We start from the raw sequence: 20,040 nt of genomic DNA, 5'->3' as shown, positions 1-20,040 counted from the left end.
GATTCAAAAATCTGATTTTTTAAATATTATTTAAATCATTTGAACCATTTCCTTTCTGACATTTGTTTGTAATATGTAAGTGATTGTGGCCTATTATTAAAGTATTTTGACACTCGAAACAGAATTCTTTATATTCCTTTATAAATTCATAAACACTTCTAGAATTACAACTTTTTATAAATGGGAAGTGACATGTTCATTTTCTATTGTACTTTAACCAATAGTAGTTTAATACTCAACTTGGCAAAGATTCATTTTAGCAAAGCTCCTTGTAATTCAGTGATAAGCATGATTTTTTTCAAAGTAAAGCTTTTTTTGTTGATATGTCTTTGATTCTAATTGTATGATTCATATAATTCATTAGAGAATGGTTGTTTGTATTAATTTCAGTATTTTGCAAGCTAAATTTTGTTTTAAATCATATAGTCAATCACTAAAATATTATAGTTCTAAATCTTTAATACAATCCCTAATGCTAAATGTAAATTATTACTTACAACAGAAGAACTTGGATTTTAAATTAACACATGGAAATAAAAATGATTTATTTTGTTCTTGTTGTTTTTTTTAATAGTTATTTGGGATTTGATCATGCTGCAACATTATTTCACATCCGAGACAGCCCTGCTGATCCTGTGGAAAGGCCAATTTACCTTACTAACACTTTCAGTTTTGCGATCCTCATTCACGATGTGTTGCTACCAGAAGAAGCCAAAACAATGTTTAAAGTATGTCCAGGAGCCCTCATACTTTTAATTTTCCTGGTCTACCAACTAGGTGATGCTGACACTTTGTTTTTTTTCTCTTCTGTCATTTCTCAGGTTCACAACTTCAGCAAACCAGTCTTAATTCTTCCTAATGAATCAGGATACATTTTTACCCTGCTTTTTATGCCTTCCACATCATCCATGCACATTGATAACAACATTTTACTTATTACCAATGCTTCTAAATTTCATTTACCCGTGCGGGTATACACAGGCTTTTTAGATGTAAGTATATTATCCATCTTTAACATTTAAACTCCCTGCCCACCTTTAATGTTTTCAGATCTTATTAGGCAGTCGTGTTACATACGGTTTGCCATTATTTGTGCTCTGCAAATTGATCTAATTCTCCTAGTCAGTTTTTACCTTTCCAGGTAACTAGTTTTTACCTTTTCTGGCAGCTCTCTCTTGTGATACAGTTGACTTCTCTAGTTACAGTCTCTACTTAGATCTTTTCCACATTCTGCTTTCTCTTGGATATGCTTTTAAACTATTGTAATAATGGGGAATATAGAAAAGAACTAAATAGAAAAATGATAGGTAGAAAAAGAATAATACAAGGAAGGTGAAGAGGGATATACGTAGGGAAGAGATGATCAAAACCAAGAAATATCGGGACAAAGAAGAGAATCAGATAGTAAAGAAGAAAATAAGGTAGTAAAGACGCAAAGTTGGAAGATTATATATGACACAGAAGGAAACAATGAAGGTACTCCTGGTACAGAAAATAAGCAGGGGGAAAAATTCCAAACAAAGCTATCTTGAGAGTGATCAATGAAAGAAGCTTAGATAAGAGAGAAAACTGTTAGGAAAGATAAAAAGAAAGCTAGGACATCTAGAAATGTAGCCCTTTAAATAGTTGGCATCGATTAGAATTTTAGAGCTGGAGGGACCTTCAGTAATGTCTCGCTCCTGCTTCAGTTATTTTGTTTCAGTGATCATTGGTGATGCTTGCTGAGACCACATGCTTTTTGCCCGATCCCCTAGGGTTCCACTAAACCTCTCTTAGTAGTTTAGCTTCCTGCCTCTTTCATGTGCCCTCAGAGGAAGAATAGCAACTCAGCAGAAGCCATGGCTGTTTTCATTTCTGATTACTCAAAAGACTTTCGTCATACAAAGCCCTCAACTATGTCGTATAAATGTGTGGTTTTATGCATATATACAAAAGCATAGGAAAGCATAGAACTGTAATTTTTTTTTTTTTTAGATGGAGTCTCGCTGTGTTTCCCAAGCTGGAGTGCAGTGGTGCAATCTTGGCTTGCGGGTTCAAGCGATTCTCCTGCCTGAGCTCAGCCTTCCGAGTAGCTGGGATTATAGGTGCACACCACCATGCCCAGCTAATTTTGGGGGGAACTTTAATACATCTTTAATATAGTTACTTTCTCTTCATAATATTGTTAGATCAATGTGACTTTTTTTTAATCTGGTTCTTTTATATCTTTCCAGTACTTTGTATTGCCCCCCAAAATAGAGGAACGTTTCATAGATTTTGGAGTACTGAGTGCTACAGAAGCAAGTAATATTTTATTTGCAATTATAAACAGCAATCCAATTGAGGTAAAAACCTGTTTTTATTCTAAATCACATTTAAGGATTTTATGCTTGTGTTGTGATAATCATTTTCATATCTTTTTTTAAAGTTGGCTATAAAAAGTTGGCATATCATAGGAGACGGTTTATCAATAGAACTTGTAGCTGTGGAAAGAGGCAATAGAACTACAATAATTTCAAGCCTGCCAGAGTTTGAAAAATCCTCTTTATCAGATCAATCATCGGTAAGTAAACTTTCTATTGTCTCCTTAAAGTAAGATGGATGTCTAAACTGCAAGTGGAAGATCATTGCTATGCTACATGTATCACTATTATTTTTATGCAGTTCATAATAGTGTTGGTTACTTGCTATTAAAAGGACCTTATAGGTAATGTAATTCAACCCCCTATTTTTATGATGAGGGCACTGAAACCCAAAGGGGTTTAATTCTGCCTTGTCATAAAAAGTTCTATAACACACAAATTTTTAATTATCTTTTTGTAACACAAGTGTCATTACAGGAGAGATTCCCATGGGTACTAAACTAACCTTGTGTTCATTGAGTTTACTGGGAAAAAGAGATGGCCCTGAACATTGGTAGAAAATATTTTCAATTATGCAATAATACGTCTGTCCAGATACTGCCTCAGTATCAGTGAGGCAAACATTGTTTGATCACTGTGAGTCTGCCCACATATTTTTACCTGTCTAATAAACATGTTACAGTTGGTTGTCAGAGAGCGCTAAACAAGAGAAAACAAATTTATTAGTTTCAGCACTCACCAGTACTGAAAGGGGAACTTGGAGTTTATACCTACTGGGAAAAGAATTAGAATCACAATCTGTGAGAAGGAGCATCAGATAATCTCATCTGCAGGTTAGAATAGAATTTCTTGGGGCAGTTTTACAAAAGGAAAAGCAAGTGTCCTTATACACAGAGAGTGTTGACAAACACGTTTCCGTGGAATGCCATAGGTCTGGTGTTTTGTTATATCTGACCTCAGCTGCCCTGAAGATATGAATATTAACATTACAGAGTGACATCCACAGCTTGAAGCAGAGCCAGCTGTGTATACAATTGTGGCTCCAGTGTGCCTGAAAGGTTGGTGGAAGGCTGTGTCCCTCTGCTCCAGCCCCTTTGGCCATACAGGTCCATGGGTAAAGAGTGAGGAGCTTTATTAGCAAGAGGACCACACCCCTCCCTCTTTCAGGAACCAGCTTTTTCAGTGGCCCATGGAACAAGTGTAGTAGAGAAATATCAAGGGATGGACACTATTTTGAGATATTTGTACACAGTGATATGGTAATTCAGTGTCATACTGGTATATGTTAGGATTTGTTAGTCATTTTATCGCTACACCCTTCATGTCCATTTTAATAGGAAACTTCAACTAACAAGGCTAATGAATGATACCATTTCTACTATCTACAGGTAACATTAGCTTCAGGCTATTTTGCAGTCTTCAGAGTCAAACTTACTGCAAAAAAATTAGAGGGGATTCATGATGGAGCCATCCAGATCACAACAGACTATGAGGTAAGGACTTTATGGGGATTCATGGCAGTGGGGTTTTTCTGAATAAGTCAGTCCTTTCTTGTCTTTATGAAACCAAAGAATTAAGTTTACTCAGAGTTACAGTTTACCAGTTTCATACCTTAAAAACTGAGCTTTCGAGAATAGTTTATAGAATATTGATGTTCATAGGCTCATAGTTTTTTGATAAAACCCAACCCTCCTAACCTAAAAAGCAACTTCAGAAGAATGCCTTTAGCACGTTTAGAATTGCTTTGTTAGAAACCTGCTTAAACAGATGGTTATATCATTGCACAGACCCCAGCTGAGTGTCCTGAGTTAGATACCTCTGATTGTTCCTACAATCATAAATAGCAGTCAGGGTCTAACATTTCTGAAAAGGAAGATAAAATCAGGAGATCATGTCCTAATCTGAGTGCTCACATTTATATTTTCATGAGTCATTCAAAGTCAAGGGACTAAAGGTTACTAAGCTTTTAATTAAAATATTCTGTGTGGAGCTTATTTTGCATTCAGTAAGATTTTGAATGGATGTATTTCTGCCAGACCTAAATGTTTTTAATTGTATATCTAAAAGCTCTTAGGAAAGTCAAGCACTGTTAAATTCAACAACTTACCACCTTTGCCCTCATAGATGTTTTCAGTGGACACAACTCCCACGTGGAAAAAAAATGTAATTATAAAATAAACAGAATTGGCCATTTAATAATAAATGATTTGTTGAGAGTATGTCAGGTGAGGAATTCATGGTTATCACTCATGACAGAAATAAGTACATTTCAGAATTCAGATAAATTTTTGTTAATATGGGTGAAAATAAGAATTAAGAAAAATACCCTAGAGAAGTAGCTTTGAGAGTTACTAACAGTATGGGATGGGATTCTAACTCTAGAATGTTCAGTGCATTTTTAAAAATTAGGTTGATGTCTATTTCTGTATCAAAAAAAAAGCTATATAACTCTAGATATGCTGGATTTTACATACATTGTTTTAGGAGTACAGTTTGACTTTCTTTTTTAAAATAATCTATTTTTATAGATTATTTGTATTTTGAAATACAAAAATATTTGTATTTTTAAAAAATCTGTCTTCATTGCTTCCCCGTTGTTTAGTCTTTTTTACGTGTTTTCAATGAATCACTGAGAAATCTGTGGAAATGTGTTATATTTCATTACATTTTATGGAGTACATTGGACAGATTAAACAGTATCTATGGGTGATTTTAATATTGGTATGGAGCTGGTTATTGTCAATATTAGTCCCAAAATTAGGTTAACCCCAAAATATAATGCAATAGTTATCAAGATCAGGCTAAGTCTTAACTACTTATCTATCATCATCTTCTTGACTTCACAGATCCTGACAATCCCTGTGAAGGCTGTGATTGCAGTAGGCTCACTGACCTGCTTCCCTAAGCACGTGGTTCTTCCACCTTCCTTTCCAGTAAGACCATTAATACACACATTTTTCTATTGCTCGTTTTTTGCCTTTGCCTTTAGCTCTGTGTTCCTAGAATCTTAGAGTAAAGTCAGTTATTCTTTATTAGTCATTTATTTTAAAGACATTATACCAGGTTCTTTAGAAGATGTAAAGAGATACAGTCCTTTTCCTCAAAAAGTTTTCTATCTAGAAAGGGAAATGGACCCACAATTCAGAGCTATAAAGCGGAATGTAGAAGTTGCCCTAAGAGGAGTGAAAATAAAGTGCTGTGAGGGAAATACACGTCTCACTGATGCAGGGGCTATGGGAGCCAGCTTAGAATTTCTTCCAACAGAGATGGAGAAGGGGTGGCAGAGACGTGAATCTAGGGCCAGGGCGCAAGCTCAACAGGGATGCAGAGGCAGTAAAGTCTGAAGTTGGTTCAGGCAATAGTGAGTTGTCCAGTTTGGCAAGAATTGAGAAAAGTTTTAAGAGAGAAAATGGAATGGTCTGTGGGGGTGATAACATGGAAAAAACTTAAATGCACTTAAGTTCATGGGAATATGAAGTTTTTGAGTGAAGACTTGACATCATCAGAGCTGAGCTTTAAAGACTGGCTCTCTGCAGAAAGAAATAGAGGACACAGATGAAAGTAACAATAGAGTGCCTGGAGGCCAACCCGCAGACTGGCCAGAGTCCATGTGAAAAGTGCCAAGGGGAGTTTGAGCGCATGGCTGTGGCTGAGGCAGTAAAGTCCCTTCATACCTCCAAGCCTTTGTTGTTTCTTTGCCTCGAATGCCCTTCCTCCTGTCCTTCCTTCAAAGAACTCCTGCGTGTCTTTCAAGATTCAATTCCATTGTCATCTCCTCTCTGAAGATTTCTTGACTCCTCTAGACAATACTGGTTGTTTCATGTGTGATCCTAGAATACTTTGAAATTACCCCTCTTGCTGCAAGCCTCGTATTGTGCTATAAATATTTCCTTATAAGTTGGCCTCCCCAGTGAGAGTCTGAGATCCTCTAGGAAACGGATGAGAGATCGTTTCTTCCCAATAGCAGGCACTTAGTACATAATGTATGGATGAAGGAACAAATGATGGAGAGGGAACATAGGCAAGAGACATTGCAGGTGAATCATTTGAACTGTGCTTATATCCTAAAGAGGTCATACAAACTGAAACAAGTATGGGGAGGAGGGTGGGTAGAGGAGGCAGGAATATGGCTTAGAGTTTGAGCCTGGAGAACAAAGACAAAACAAATGAGAAAACCAGGAGAAGATGCTGCCTTTTGCAAGAAGATGGTGCAGTCCATTCAGGAATACCAGGGCAGATGTAAAAGTGTCTCACATCCTAGTGGTAGGAGACAGTAGTGGGTTAAGAGAAACAAGACATTGCAAAATCTTAATGCTGTATGCAAGTTGAGCATCCCTAACCCAAAAATCTGAAATCCAAAATGTTCCCAAATCTGAAACATTTTGAGACCACAAGTGGAAAATTCTACACCTGACCTCTTGTAACAGGTTCCAGTCAAAACTTTGCTTCATGCACAAAATTATTTTAAATGTTGTATAAAATTACCTTCAGGCTATGCATATAAATGTATATGAAACATAAATGAATTTCATGTTTAGACTTGGGTTCTGTCCCCAAGATATCTCATTATATATATGTAAATATTCCAAAAAAAAAATCTAAAACACTTCTGGCCCCAAGCATTTTAAATAAGGGATACTCAACCCTTACAGTAAAACCTGAATTCAATATTTAACTCCTTAAAAATACAAACTTTGAATTACTAGTTTCATCACATTTAAGTTTGGGTCTTAATTAAATCCTCATCTTCCTGTCATTCCACTTTGTACTGACTATACTAAACTCTTCGTTATTTATCCAAAAGAGCCATGTTTCTTCCTTCCATTACCTTCTCAATCAATGATGTCCTTAATCTCTGCGTAAACTCTGGCAGGGAAAAGTTCAGTTCAGAAGACAGCAGATGACACAGTGAAAAGCCCCATGAGTGGAATAAATGAGAAAGCATGTGTATAAAAACAAGATGTTGGTCTGGATCCATTTGTGTTGCTATAAAGGAATCCCTGAGGCTGGGTGATTTATTTTTAAAAAAGAGGTGTATTTGGTTCACAGTTCTGGAGACTGTGCAGGAAGCATGGCCCCAGTGTCTGCATTGGTGAGGGCCTTAGGCTGCTTCCACTCATATTGGAAGGCAAAGAGGAGCTGGCATGTGCAAAGATCACATGGCAAGAGAGAAGAGAGGGAGGTGCCAGGCTCTTTTTTAACAACCAGTGGTTGTGTGAACTAATGGCATGAGAACTCATTACTACGAGGTCAGAACGCACCAAGCCATTCATGAGGGATCCACCCCTGTGGCCCAGACACCTTCCATAGGGCCCCACCTCCAACACTGGGGATCACATTTCAGCATGAGATTTAGAGGGGTTGGTTTTGAACTGCTTCAGATTAAGCTTTCAGATATCTCTAGGAGGCTTACAGGACCAGATACTTGCTTGGAATTCTAAATTACCTCTATATTACCAAATCCTGTCAATCTCTTTATCAGATGGAGAATACTAGAGCTTACTGGAAACAATACCTCAGAATAAACATTTCATGTAACTCATAGCTTAATATTTGAATAGAATTGTGAGAGCAGCATTTATATCTGTGAGCTCTTTTGATCCCCCACACCCCCAAGAGACAAGGCACGAGGGAAGTAGTTATTTCAAGTACGCCAAGTGCGGTGACTGCCCGAGGGCTCCTGTCGGCATTGCAGCTGCATGCCCGCCCTCTGCTGGCTGTCGGGTGTTTTAGCCTCACTGGGCTGTAAATGAGGAGCGCTGGCCTCAGTGTCACAGTCATTGCGCCCTTTTTCCTGTGCACGCTCTTCACTTCTGTATTTTTTATTCCAAATATTTAAAAAGTGGGTTTAATCATTTCAGAGACCTCTTCAAATGAGTAGGAATCTACAAAAAGTAAAATTTTGTATTCAGCCAAAAGAAAGATTGTAATATTCTTCTGGAGGATTACGTAAATTATTTAATTTTTTAATTTAAAATTTGGTACCCTGTCACAGACAGAAGCTTGTGACTGGTAAGAGCAATTGCTGGTTATTTAACAGTTTTATTTGTGTGCTGGGGTTTTTGTTTGTTTGTTTGTTTGAGATGGAGTCTCACTCTGTCACCCAGGCTGGAGTGCCGTGGTACGATCTCGGCTCACTGCAGCCTCCGCTTCCCGAGTTCAAGTGATTCTCCTGCCTCAGCCTCCCCAGTAGCTGGGACTACAGGTGTGTGCCACCATGCCTGCTAATTTTTCGTGTGTATTTTTAGCAGGAACAGGGTTTCACCATGTTGGCCTGGCTGGTCTCGAACTCCTGGCCTCAAGTGATCCACCCACCTTAGCCTCCCAAAGTGCTGGGATTACAGGCATGAGCCACTGTGCCCAGCTTGTGTACTGTTTTAATAAGATACTTGACAACCCATAATTTCAAAAGATGTGTAATTTCTCTTTGATACAAATGACATATATTTTTCCTAATGAAGAGACTTTCTTTTAAAAAAAATTGTGATTTTGTCCCCTTTGGCTTTAGATTTTAGAATTCAGTGATTTCAGGGCATTCTTGCCTGGGTGTAAACAAACCTTGCTTACCAAACTGAAAGTAACCATTCCCTTTATCTAAAGCTATCTCTGTTTGTACCTTTGTTGGCATCCTCAGTATCTTAACATGAAAGTGTGAATGTTAACGTCAATCAGTTGTCACAAGATTGCAAAGATTTGTCCTCCTGATTTTTCTGTAACATGCCACAGCAAGAAAAAAAAGTTTTTTGGTGAGGTTTTTTGGCTGTTGATTACAATTTAAAGATTATCAATTGATGAACATTCTAAGATGTCTTTTGGGCTTTGGTTTCCTAGAAGTATGCTTGTCTACTCTGAAACTTGTGATCTTAAGAAAATTTAACCATATACAAATGAGTTTGTTCTTTGCTTTCTTCCTTCAGGGGAAAATAGTTCATCAAAGTTTAAATATTATGAATTCCTTCTCACAGAAGGTAAAAATACAGCAAATACGATCTTTGTCAGAAGATGTGCGATTTTACTATAAACGATTACGGGGCAATAAGGAAGACTTGGAGCCAGGAAAAAAATCAAAGGTTTGAAGATATTATATTTGAGAATTCCCATTGGTTAACATTTTGTTTTATGACCTCCTGTGGATTTGGGATTCATGGTTCTCCTGTGCCTCTTTATAGATTGCAAACATTTATTTTGATCCTGGACTACAGTGTGGGGATCATTGCTATGTTGGCTTGCCTTTTCTATCCAAATGTAAGTGACCTTGCTGTTCTCTCTCATGTCTTCACTTCCCCCAAAATACTCTTTTAGTAAGAGGCCGCCACTTTTAAAGTACATTGCTGTCTTTTGTTACTATAGAAATTATTTGAAGGAAAATTGACAAGTGAGTATAGATGCAGGTTAAGTATGTTTCCTTGTTTTAGCTGAACCCAAAGTGCAGCCTGGTGTAGCCATGCAGGAAGATATGTGGGATGCTGACTGGGATTTGCATCAAAGCCTGTTCAAGGGATGGACAGGAATAAAGGAAAATTCAGGTCATAGGTGAGTGGTTTATGTTTATTTATTTTAGCCATCTTTACAAGATGACTATTGAAACATAATGCTTTCTAAATTATATTCTTATGTTAGATTATTTTGCTTTATAGCTAAGAAAGAATGCCTAATTTTCAGAAAGTTATTAGTGAGGCATCTTAAATTGCCATTTTAACTGTATGTTGCTTGGAAATATACATACTGTCATTTTTCTCTTTTCTGTGGTGCTTTAGATATTTCTTACACTCCAAGAAAATATTTGAAGTTGTTCTTATGTAGGATGACGACAGTATTCACCTTAGACTCATCCATTTGCATAGGAAAGAAAGTTTTTTACCTACCACTGATGTCTGTTAAAGGCAAGGGAAACATTTTCTAGGTTTACCCCCACCTAGGCACTTGGTACAAGACCAGAGTGTCTGTTTTCTTATTGTGAAAAGAATACCTCCTTCCTTTTTTTTTTTTTTTTTTTTTTGAGACGGAGTCTCACTCTGTCACCAAGCTGGAGTGCAGTGGCGTGATTCTCCTGCATCAGCCTCCCAAGTAGCTGGGACCACAGGTACATGCCACCATGCTTGGCTAATTTTTGTATTTTTGGTAGAGATAGGGTTTCACCATGTTGGCCAGGATGGTCTCCATCTCTTGACCTCGTGATCCACCCACCTCAGCCTCCCAAAGTGCTGAGATTACAGGCGTGACCCACTGTGCCCAGCCCACCCCCTTCCTTTCTAAGTGCTGAGCTATTCGGGAGCACACAGGGCTCCATTCAGACAGGCCCCACAGTGTTTCTTTGGCAGGTAGGAAATGTGCATCTAATGACAAATCAATACTGCACCCAGATTCAAAAACAAAAAATGTATTGATTTGGTAGTATAGAAATCTGATCTTTTCATGTACTTCAGAAAAGAATTTGACTAGAATAATGATAGTATGGCAGCTGATGGAAACTGCTCTTCTCAAGCTGCTAATTTGAAATATATTTGTTAGTATCAGGATATTCCCATTTAAGAGTACTGTAAATTCTCAAACCATTAATAATTGGAGGGTTTGTTTATCTGAACTCTCTGCTATGAAAAGTTTTCTTAAGGCAAAAGAAAGTCGAATGTTTACTTTAAAAAGATGGTTAAAATGAATACAAAAGAGACTTCCTCTAATGGACTTGCTAAGAGAACACTAATTAAAACTCTCCTTTGTACCCTGTATTTCCACAGTGGACATTATAAAGGACAAGCAAGCCCCAAATGTTAATGTCCAGTTATGAACAAATAACTTACAGTGTTGTCCTATGCTCAGCTGCTAAGGGGCCTCTTCACCTCCTACCCACAAAAAGCCTGCCCTCCTCTCTGTGTCCCCAGCACCCCATTGCTAAGACCTTGGCTCCCTGTCTATCTTGAGTGCACAGTAGATGTGATATTCTCCCTGATCCTGCCTTTGTGTTACTTTGTTATGTGTGTGTTACAGAGGATTTCTGCTACTAGTCATATAAACTTGTACTCTTACCAGTATTAGAGTATCATAACACTACAACAATAGAGTTAGGGGTTAAAATATGCTTCAGCGTTTAGTCCCAGGAATCTTAGCTCCATTTATAATATTGTGTCTTTGGGAATGTGTTCTGAGTTCTAAGCAACTGGCTTATACACACTTATAAGTAGGGAGATATTCAGATGAGGTCTTGAATATTGCTGAAAACTTTACATGTGTCTGCACAAAACCCTCGTAGGTTTTACCTCTGTTGTCAACTGATGTCTTCATTGAATCTGAGGACTCTGTTTTGTCTTTATATCAAGGGGGAAAAAAGCCATATGCCAAGCAATGTACTGCCTTCTCATTAGTCCTACTGAAAATGTTTTTAGCACCCTGCTTGTAGATGTCTAGATCTTTCCTCTAGGCACATAAGATCCTTTAGGATCTGCGTAACATCATGTATTATCTTTATATGCCTGCCTTTTCTAAATAGGTTATCTACTATAGGCCAGCTTTTCTTACTGAATTTATACTTGGAAAGGTTTTTCGAAACTTACGCGGGATTACATTAATGCCATTGGTATTATTCCTAAGATTTATCATCCTTTCTATATTCAGTACAGAAACAGAGGATCTGTGACAGATATTTTGGCAACTCTTTGCACCAATATAGAGACATCATATAGCATTACAAGCATAGTAAAATATTAGAATGAATAAATGTGTTTTTTCAGGGCCAGCAAAAAATTTCTCAAGTACATAAGCCTAATTGAATTTCTTATGTTCAGAAGACTCAAATATTTCATTTTGATACAGTGACTTACAAATTGTTTTTCTAGATTGAGTGCTATATTTGAAGTAAATACAGACCTTCAAAAAAATATAATATCAAAAATCACTGCTGAGCTCTCCTGGCCTTCCATACTTAGCTCACCCCGGCACTTGAAATTTCCACTTACTAATACAAACTGCTCCTCAGTAAGTATTCAAAGTGACATTGGTTTTTGGAAATACATACTAGGATTATAAAGTATTTACTCTTAGCTTTAACTATAGAAATCTTTCATTTAATGTTTCATTATTTTGTTTAAGGAAGAAGAGATTACTTTAGAAAATCCTGCAGATGTTCCTGTCTATGTTCAGTTTATTCCTCTGGCTTTATATTCCAACCCTTCAGTGTTTGTAGATAAGTTAGTATCAAGGTAAGTATTGCTTGGGATCATCACAGTGTTTCTATGTAGTATTGAATTAGTATTTTATTCACTTAAAAAGCCTTATTTGCAGCTCATACAGATTAATAGATTTGACGAGAAGTTCTGGATCTATAAGGTTGAGAGAAGGTTTTAGGGAGGTTTAGGTTGATACTGTGCAAAGCATCCAGAAAAACTTTCAATATAAGGCAAGAAAAAGTAATATGGAACTCCCTTCTAAAAATGTGTAAAGAGAAAGTAGATGAAACCTTTCAAATATTCTAGTTTTGAAAAGTGAACAAAATATTAATTACAAGTTGTGGCCTTTAATTTTCTTAAGGCTATAAATCTGGTCATATTGATCTCAAAACCTGACAGACAATAATTTGAAAATAAAGCACACACCTGATAATCACTCCATAACTCCCTTAACTGTGATGTTGCTTATGAATAAATATGTGTACATTTTTTGTTTTAGGTTTAACTTGAGTAAGGTGGCAAAGATAGATTTGAGAACACTAGAATTTCAAGTCTTCAGAAACAGTGTAAGTATTCAAACTTCATACTATTCCAAAGAAATTATTTTATAATATGATCAATATAAATATGAAAGAAAATTATTGGCTACTCTTAAATTTGGCTGAAGGGTAAGTTACTGAAGAAGTCAGAGCAGTCCAGTAATTATTTCAGAGGCAAAATAAATCAGGAAGAGTAGGTGGGATTTAGATCAAGGTGAGGCACATTGAGTAAAAGGTTCGTATTTATGGGCATTAAACATTAAGCCCATGAAGGTTTGTAATAATAATTACAGAAATTCTGAGAATATATAGATGAGGTAAATATTAATACATCATTGATTTTTATTAAGCATCAAAATATTGAGCTCAGTCATTTACATTTTCATTCTGGATACTTTGTAATTAAATTGTAAGCCATCCATGAATGCTAAACCCATGACTGGCTGTGTTTGTATTTAGCATGGTAATATGCATGATTTTCACTCAATGGATAATCTTTTATTTATAAACATATACATAAACTGGTTTGTTCTAGGAACCAAACTATTTTCTATTATTTAGGCCAGGCTGAGCAACCACTAACCACACGTTATTAAATAAGACCTAATGTAAGGGTGTGTGTTGGGAACTTAACACTTGGAGCTAAGGCTCCCTGCAAACTGGTCCAAGCCTTTTGGCCACCATGCCCTTGTTTCTGCCCAAGGCCAAATTCAAATCTGGTTCTCTGATTCCAGAAGCCTTGCCCTTACCATTGTATCATGTGGTCACTGCTGATCAGGAATTGCTATGAGCCTTTTCAAACCAGATCCCTTGTAGTTCTTGAAATACTGTATTCTTTCCCATAGCTCCATGTTTTAATCTGTAAGGCATATATTAGCCCAATCCTTATTAGAATAGTTTTTATAACTCTGTCTTTAAGGCGAGCTTACATAAGAAAGTAATATTCAAAGTAGTATTTTTTTCTGTCAAATAATGGCTGGGACACTAGACTAAAGTTTAGACAGTCTTGTATTCCAGCCTCATGCGCGGCTCTGGGAATCTTTTCGTGCTTTGCTTTTCCCATCTGTAAGATGCCAAAGTAACAAATGTTATTGGAAGTTATCTAGAAGGCTCAGTAACCAGAACTTCCTTTCATTCTGCTTTTCTTTTTCTTTTTTTTTTTCTTCTGAGACAGTCTGGCTCTGTCACCCAGGCTGGAGTGCAATGGTGTAATCTCAGCTCATTGCAACCTCTGCTGCCCGGGTTTGTGCAATTCTCCTGCCTCAGCCTCCCGAGTAGCGGGATTACAGGCACGTGCCACCACACCTGGCTAATTTTTTTTTTTTTGTATTTTTAGTAGAGCCGGGGTTTCACCATGTTGGCCAGGCTAGTTTCAAACTCCTGACCTCAGGTGATCCACCCACCTTGGCCTCCTAAAGTACTGGGATTACAGGCGTGAGCCACAGTGCCCGGCCCACTCTGCTTTTATAATAGGGAGAAATTTCACATAAGTATTAAGTGAGCTAATATTTAACTTTCTTATTTTATTAACTACAAGCCATATTTACAAGATGTAGAACACTGAACTAAGCACTGTGAGAGATAGGAAAATAAGTAAGAGTACTCTAGACGTCAGAAATGTATTCTAAATAAGAAATTCAGGAGGAGGTCCTAGAGTGAGCTTAGAGTAAATTCTATCTCAGGCATCTCTACAGTGCTATAGAATGTGGTTCTCAAAATACTTGGTCTCAGGACTCCCTTGCAGTCTTAAAATTATTAAGGACCCCAGAGAGGTTTCTGGTTTACATCCATCAGTGTTTTGCCATATTAGAAACTGAAACTGAGGCCGGGCATGGAAGATCTTTAAAATAGTGATTTAATTTGTTTAAAATAATAATAAACCTATTCCATTCAACATAGGTAACATCAAAAATGAAAACTACCTATATTTTAAAAAATCATTTAGCAAGGAGAATGGATTTTTTTTAATTTTTACAACTCTCTTTAATGGCTGGCTCCCTGACTTAATAGACAGGTAGATTCTCATATCTGCCTCTACATTCAGTCTCTCTTGATATATTGTTTTGATCGAAGTATGTAATGAAAATCTAACCTGCTACAGACATGTAATTACAAAAAGAAGGAGTATTTTAGTTGCCTTTTTATTTATAACACTGTACATCAGTCTTTTGGAAAATACTGGTTCACGGAGACATGCAGACCTTACAAATGTTGCCACAATTCACTATGCACTATCCAAAAATGAATCATCCTCGCTAATCTAACCACCAGGCTCATCAGGAAACTCTTGAAGTATTGGGAAGCTGTCATGCTCACAATGGTGAATACAAATTATCCAAAATCCTAAATTTTGCTCAAAAGCTTGAATTTTATTAGAAACAAATACTTCAGTAGGCTCACTTATTTCTGTGAAAATACCTGCCAGATGCCCAAGTCTGAATAACCATGGACTGTCTGTCATTCTTTCAGACATAAACGGTGTTCCATGAGAAAAGCAGCTAGTTCAGCTTCCATCTCAAACAGCTTTTCAAAACAACATGGTAGCTGTAGAAATACTTTTTACATACTTCCCATTGTATCCCACAGAATATTAAAGACATGCTCCAGGGTTGAAGTTTTTATGGCATAATCGAGGACTTTTTTTTTTTTTAAATACAAATGAATGACACTGAAAAACACAATGGCTGCTAGGAAAGTTTGATACCACTGCTTTGATGCATGCTAAGGGGTCAGCAGTTTTACCCTCCATGGCTTTTGCTGACCATCAGTGCAGATGCCAACATAGTGAAAAAGACAAATAACGTCTATCGGTATTATTATGAAAATAGTTTTGACATCGTGGTGGATACTCTGACAGGATCCCTGAGATCCCCAGGGGTCCAAGGGTCACTCTTGGAGAACCACCACTATAAAATTATTAAGGTCCTGAATGGTATACGGGAGGCATCACAACATCTTAAAGTTTTCCCCAAACCATGAGAGTTTAAATTAGCTAGTGCTTGCTGGGAATATATGTATAGTACATCATTGTGTCCATCAGTTAATCAGAGTAGTTGATTTAAAAGGGAAATTACTCACCAACCATCTTGAAGCAGTTGGAATATTCTTCTGTCTTAGTGGACTTTGACAGAAAGGAAAAAAATAGCAGTTAACACTTGAACAACACAGGCTTCGACTGTGCTGACGCACGCATACATTTTTTTCAATCAAGTGCAGATGGAAAATACAGTTTTCAGGATGCAAAACTGCATATATGGAGAGCCCTACTTTTTGTAGGCACATTCCACAGTGGCCAACTGCTACTTGAAAAATCGCAGATTTGGTTATGCCAGGAATCCTGGAACCAATCTCTGGCATGTACAGAGACAACCGTATTTACCTCAGAAGCAAGAATTAAAAGTAATGTGCTTCATAAAGTCTGTTGACTCTGAGTTAATGTTTGTGGAATCATGCTGAAGCAAGTAGCTAGATCTCTATGTGTGAAACACACACCGATCTATGCCAGGGGGAGTAGAAAACAATACAAAATGCACCCTCCTTCCATGATAGCAGAAGCCATGAAGAACTGGTGGATGTTTATAGCCAAGCGTTGACAACCCTTCCCTCAAAAAAGTTTACACTTAATGTTGCTTAAAAACCAGAACGGTATATCCTTATATGTGACCTGTGACTGTTTTTGTAATAAAAAAGCAAATGTTTTTCAACCTTAACTATAACTGGCTGTCAAAAAGTCATATTTTGAATATTAAACTAAGCTATGCTTTAAACTTTAAATCATTGGGTGTTTATGAAACAGTAAGCGTGTGTAACCTTCAAAATAAGATTCAAGGAGAAATGTATAGGAATTGGAAATCTTTTTACATTTAAACATTCGGTGCAGCCTGAAGACCCTTCAGCTGGTCCCCTTCAGAGGGGAGGAGTGGCGTGGCAGTGGCAGGAGGCCTGAGGTGTTGGCCCTGGTCCCCTTCAGAGGGGAGCAGTGGCGGGAAGCATCAGGAGGCCTGGGGTGCTGGCATTGGTTCCACAAGTGTTTGCTTTGTGCTAATGTGTCTAGCTGATCATCTTAGGTTTGTGTCCTTTTCTGTGTGTGGAATATTTCAAATTTTTAGGTTAAAAACAAAAAAGATATGTATCCAAAAACAAATGCCTTGTGCAAACATTGAGGACTTTATTTGGTGACCTGGGGAAGAAAGCCCCTTTTTGGACTTAATGTAGAATATGAATCTCATCGTTGGTTACTCTGTGCTGCTTTCCAGCTAACCCATATCTAAACATGACAGATAAAATTGTTTATGCATTTAATCAGTTTGAGAAACTATACTGGGCTCTAGATGGGGTGTAAGCGAAGAAACATTCTTCCAGAGAATATATTCATGACTCCTCTCTGTTTACCCAATGATTCAAGGCTCATCCACTGCAGAGTTCAACAGGATTTATGGAGGGCCTCTCTCGACATTTAATTTTAAACCTAATTTTAAAACCTGGAGAAAAGAAATCTGTCAAAGTAAAGTTTACTCCAGTTCACAACAGAACTGTTTCTTCACTTATCATAGTCAGGTAGGTTCTGTGATATAGGTGTGGGTTCATTTTTACTACTTACTTAGAAGTCCTCACTTGTTTTAAGATGAATTTGCATGTCTAACTTATGAAATAGTTTGAATTCACTTTGTCCAAAACATGCACACACTCCATGCCTGATGAAACATACCTTTGTTATCAAATGCATAGTTCAAAAACATGAATGGTGTCTTAATGTGTGTCTCTTAAAAATAAAAACTTGCTCTTCTCTGTGTATTTTTGAATTCTTAAAGTATAAATTCTCACCATTAAATTTAATTTCTATGTGGTGCTCTGTAAAATAACAGTAGAAATTGCAAATCAAAAGATTGTGCAGATTTAATGAGAGAAAAATCTGTAATTCTCATTCTTGCATAGAAATAACCTGACTGTGATGGATGCTGTGATGGTCCAAGGACAAGGAACAACTGAGAACTTGAGGGTGGCAGGCAAGCTTCCAGGTCCAGGAAGCTCCTTACGCTTTAAAATCACGGAAGCATTGTTAAAAGATTGTACAGATAGTAAGTCTTCCTAACAGTTTCAAGGACACTAATTTCAGCATTTGCTTTCAACAGTAAATAATTTCAAAAACAACATTATTTCTGTATGTGCACCTGTGTATATTAGTTATGAATGCTTAAGAGCTTAAGGAAATTCCATGTTGTGTTTAGAGTTGTTTGATTTGGATCTTAAAAGATTTAAAGTGTTTGCACTCATTGCATACCTTAGCTGATTTACTCTCAGTATGAAATGTGAAGTATAGTCAACTTTTGCCATCTAAAATGATTTATCAAAGTAGATTACCTCATGATGAAATCTGAGGAACAGCTGATCTCTCTGACATGCAGGGATGGTTTATAACCTGTGACATATAGTAATTCATGAATAATGTATTTATCATTTGGACTGGGAGCACATGATGGCAAGATTTAGTCTTATTCCTGATTTTTTATCCTTTAGGTTTAAAACTAAGAGAACCAAATTTCACATTGAAAAGAACATTTAAGGTAGAGAATACAGGACAACTTCAAATTCACATAGAAACCATTGAAATCAGTGGATACTCATGTGAAGGATATGGCTTTAAAGTTGTTAATTGTCAAGAGTTTACTCTAAGTGCCAATGCTTCTAGAGATATAATCATATTGTAAGTATTTTATTTTAAGGTGTAATGAATCACTAACTTTCCTCAAACTCTGTGCAAAGATATGTTTTCATATTTACCAAAGGTCTTTATCCACAAATGCATTCATTTGTTTTTTTTTCACTTAATCTTTGGCTAAGGTATTTCTTCATATCTTAGTTTTCAAAGTTGTAAATTTTTTTTCACTTAATCTTTGGTTAAGGCATTTCTTCATATCTCAGTTTTCAAAAGTTATAAAACTTTATCTCCGAAGTGGATCAGATAATCTTAGAAATCAATTTCAAAATTATTTTCAGGGTTACGTTAAAGCAAAAGATGTTGATGTAAATTCACAGTCCCTCAGCAACAGAGATTTGTTTCATACATGTACAGTTTTTTCACGTTTTGCAGTATACGGATATGTAATATTTTGGTCAGAAGACAGTTTTAATACCTATCTCAGTAATAGCTGCAGCATATTTTAACAATTAATTGATAACTTGTTCTGTTATAAAGTTTATGCAATAAAATGCAACTTCTGTCCCTTAATTGAATATTTAATTTAGTGATCTTTAATGAATATTTACTTAATAAGTAGCTACATTATTGCATATAAGGCATAATGTTTGACACCTAAAGATGCAATGAGGAATAAGACACCTTTCCTCAAGGTACATACAATTAGCAAAAAATAAAAATAGAATAATTGCAACAGTAATCCATACTGCAGGAGATGATGGAAAAATCACTAGGCCCCAGCCAGTTGGTTTGTTTTTTTAAAAAAGACATTATTGGGATTGTAGCCTGGGAAAAGAGCATGGATTTAGATAAAGAAGAAAGAAGGAGAGAAGGACATGAAGCTCAGGACCATTTTCTGAATTAATAATTATGAGAATTTGATTATTGTTATTTTTTAGTGTAATTTCTCTAATTATTCACAGAATACAGTTGTTCCTATTACTGACCATGGGACAATACTTTTTTCATCTTAAAATACGGAAGTTGAGTAAAAGTATCAAACGCAAATTCTGTGTTATATTTCAAAGGCTTATAGGACCAGTATTATATGCAGACTGCTTGTGAGATATTTTTAAAACTTAGCCTTACTACCATCATTCTGTTTTAGGTTTACTCCTGATTTTACAGCTTCTAGAGTTATTCGGGAACTGAAGTTTATAACAACCAGTGGCTCTGAGTTTGTATTTATATTGAATGCATCCCTTCCTTACCATATGTTAGCAACCTGTGCAGAAGCCCTACCCAGACCTAACTGGGAACTGGCTCTGTATATCATCATCTCAGGAATAATGAGGTATTGT

At 36.7% G+C, this 20,040-nt stretch overlaps 1 protein-coding gene across 8 annotated transcripts in view; it reads left to right on the top strand.

Annotated features, from left to right (window-relative positions):
• Positions 1-20,040, top strand: part of TMEM131 (transmembrane protein 131) — a 239,613-nt gene that overhangs the window by 180,986 nt on the left and 38,587 nt on the right. For 6 of the 8 annotated variants that reach the window (XM_047443843.1, NM_015348.2, XM_005263910.2 and 3 more), the window contains 16 exons: positions 575-728; positions 822-992; positions 2,214-2,324; positions 2,408-2,542; positions 3,731-3,835; positions 5,189-5,275; positions 9,260-9,412; positions 9,512-9,587; positions 9,758-9,875; positions 12,173-12,311; positions 12,426-12,535; positions 13,002-13,068; positions 17,447-17,598; positions 17,977-18,119; positions 18,559-18,745; positions 19,848-20,033. In XM_047443843.1, coding sequence (XP_047299799.1) covers positions 575-728; positions 822-992; positions 2,214-2,324; positions 2,408-2,542; positions 3,731-3,835; positions 5,189-5,275; positions 9,260-9,412; positions 9,512-9,587; positions 9,758-9,875; positions 12,173-12,311; positions 12,426-12,535; positions 13,002-13,068; positions 17,447-17,598; positions 17,977-18,119; positions 18,559-18,745; positions 19,848-20,033 — 2,094 coding nt within the window. The remainder of the gene's footprint in view (positions 1-574; positions 729-821; positions 993-2,213; positions 2,325-2,407; positions 2,543-3,730; positions 3,836-5,188; positions 5,276-9,259; positions 9,413-9,511; positions 9,588-9,757; positions 9,876-12,172; positions 12,312-12,425; positions 12,536-13,001; positions 13,069-17,446; positions 17,599-17,976; positions 18,120-18,558; positions 18,746-19,847; positions 20,034-20,040) is intronic. The other 2 variants (XM_047443844.1, XM_011510869.2) reach the window with 1 other exon arrangement.

The sequence above is a fragment of the Homo sapiens genome, chromosome 2, assembly GCF_000001405.40.
Source record: "Homo sapiens chromosome 2, GRCh38.p14 Primary Assembly".
Classification (NCBI taxonomy): domain Eukaryota; kingdom Metazoa; phylum Chordata; class Mammalia; order Primates; family Hominidae; genus Homo; species Homo sapiens.
The sequence above is the reverse complement of the archived record's forward strand: the minus strand, read 5'-3'. Positions and strand labels throughout refer to the sequence as shown.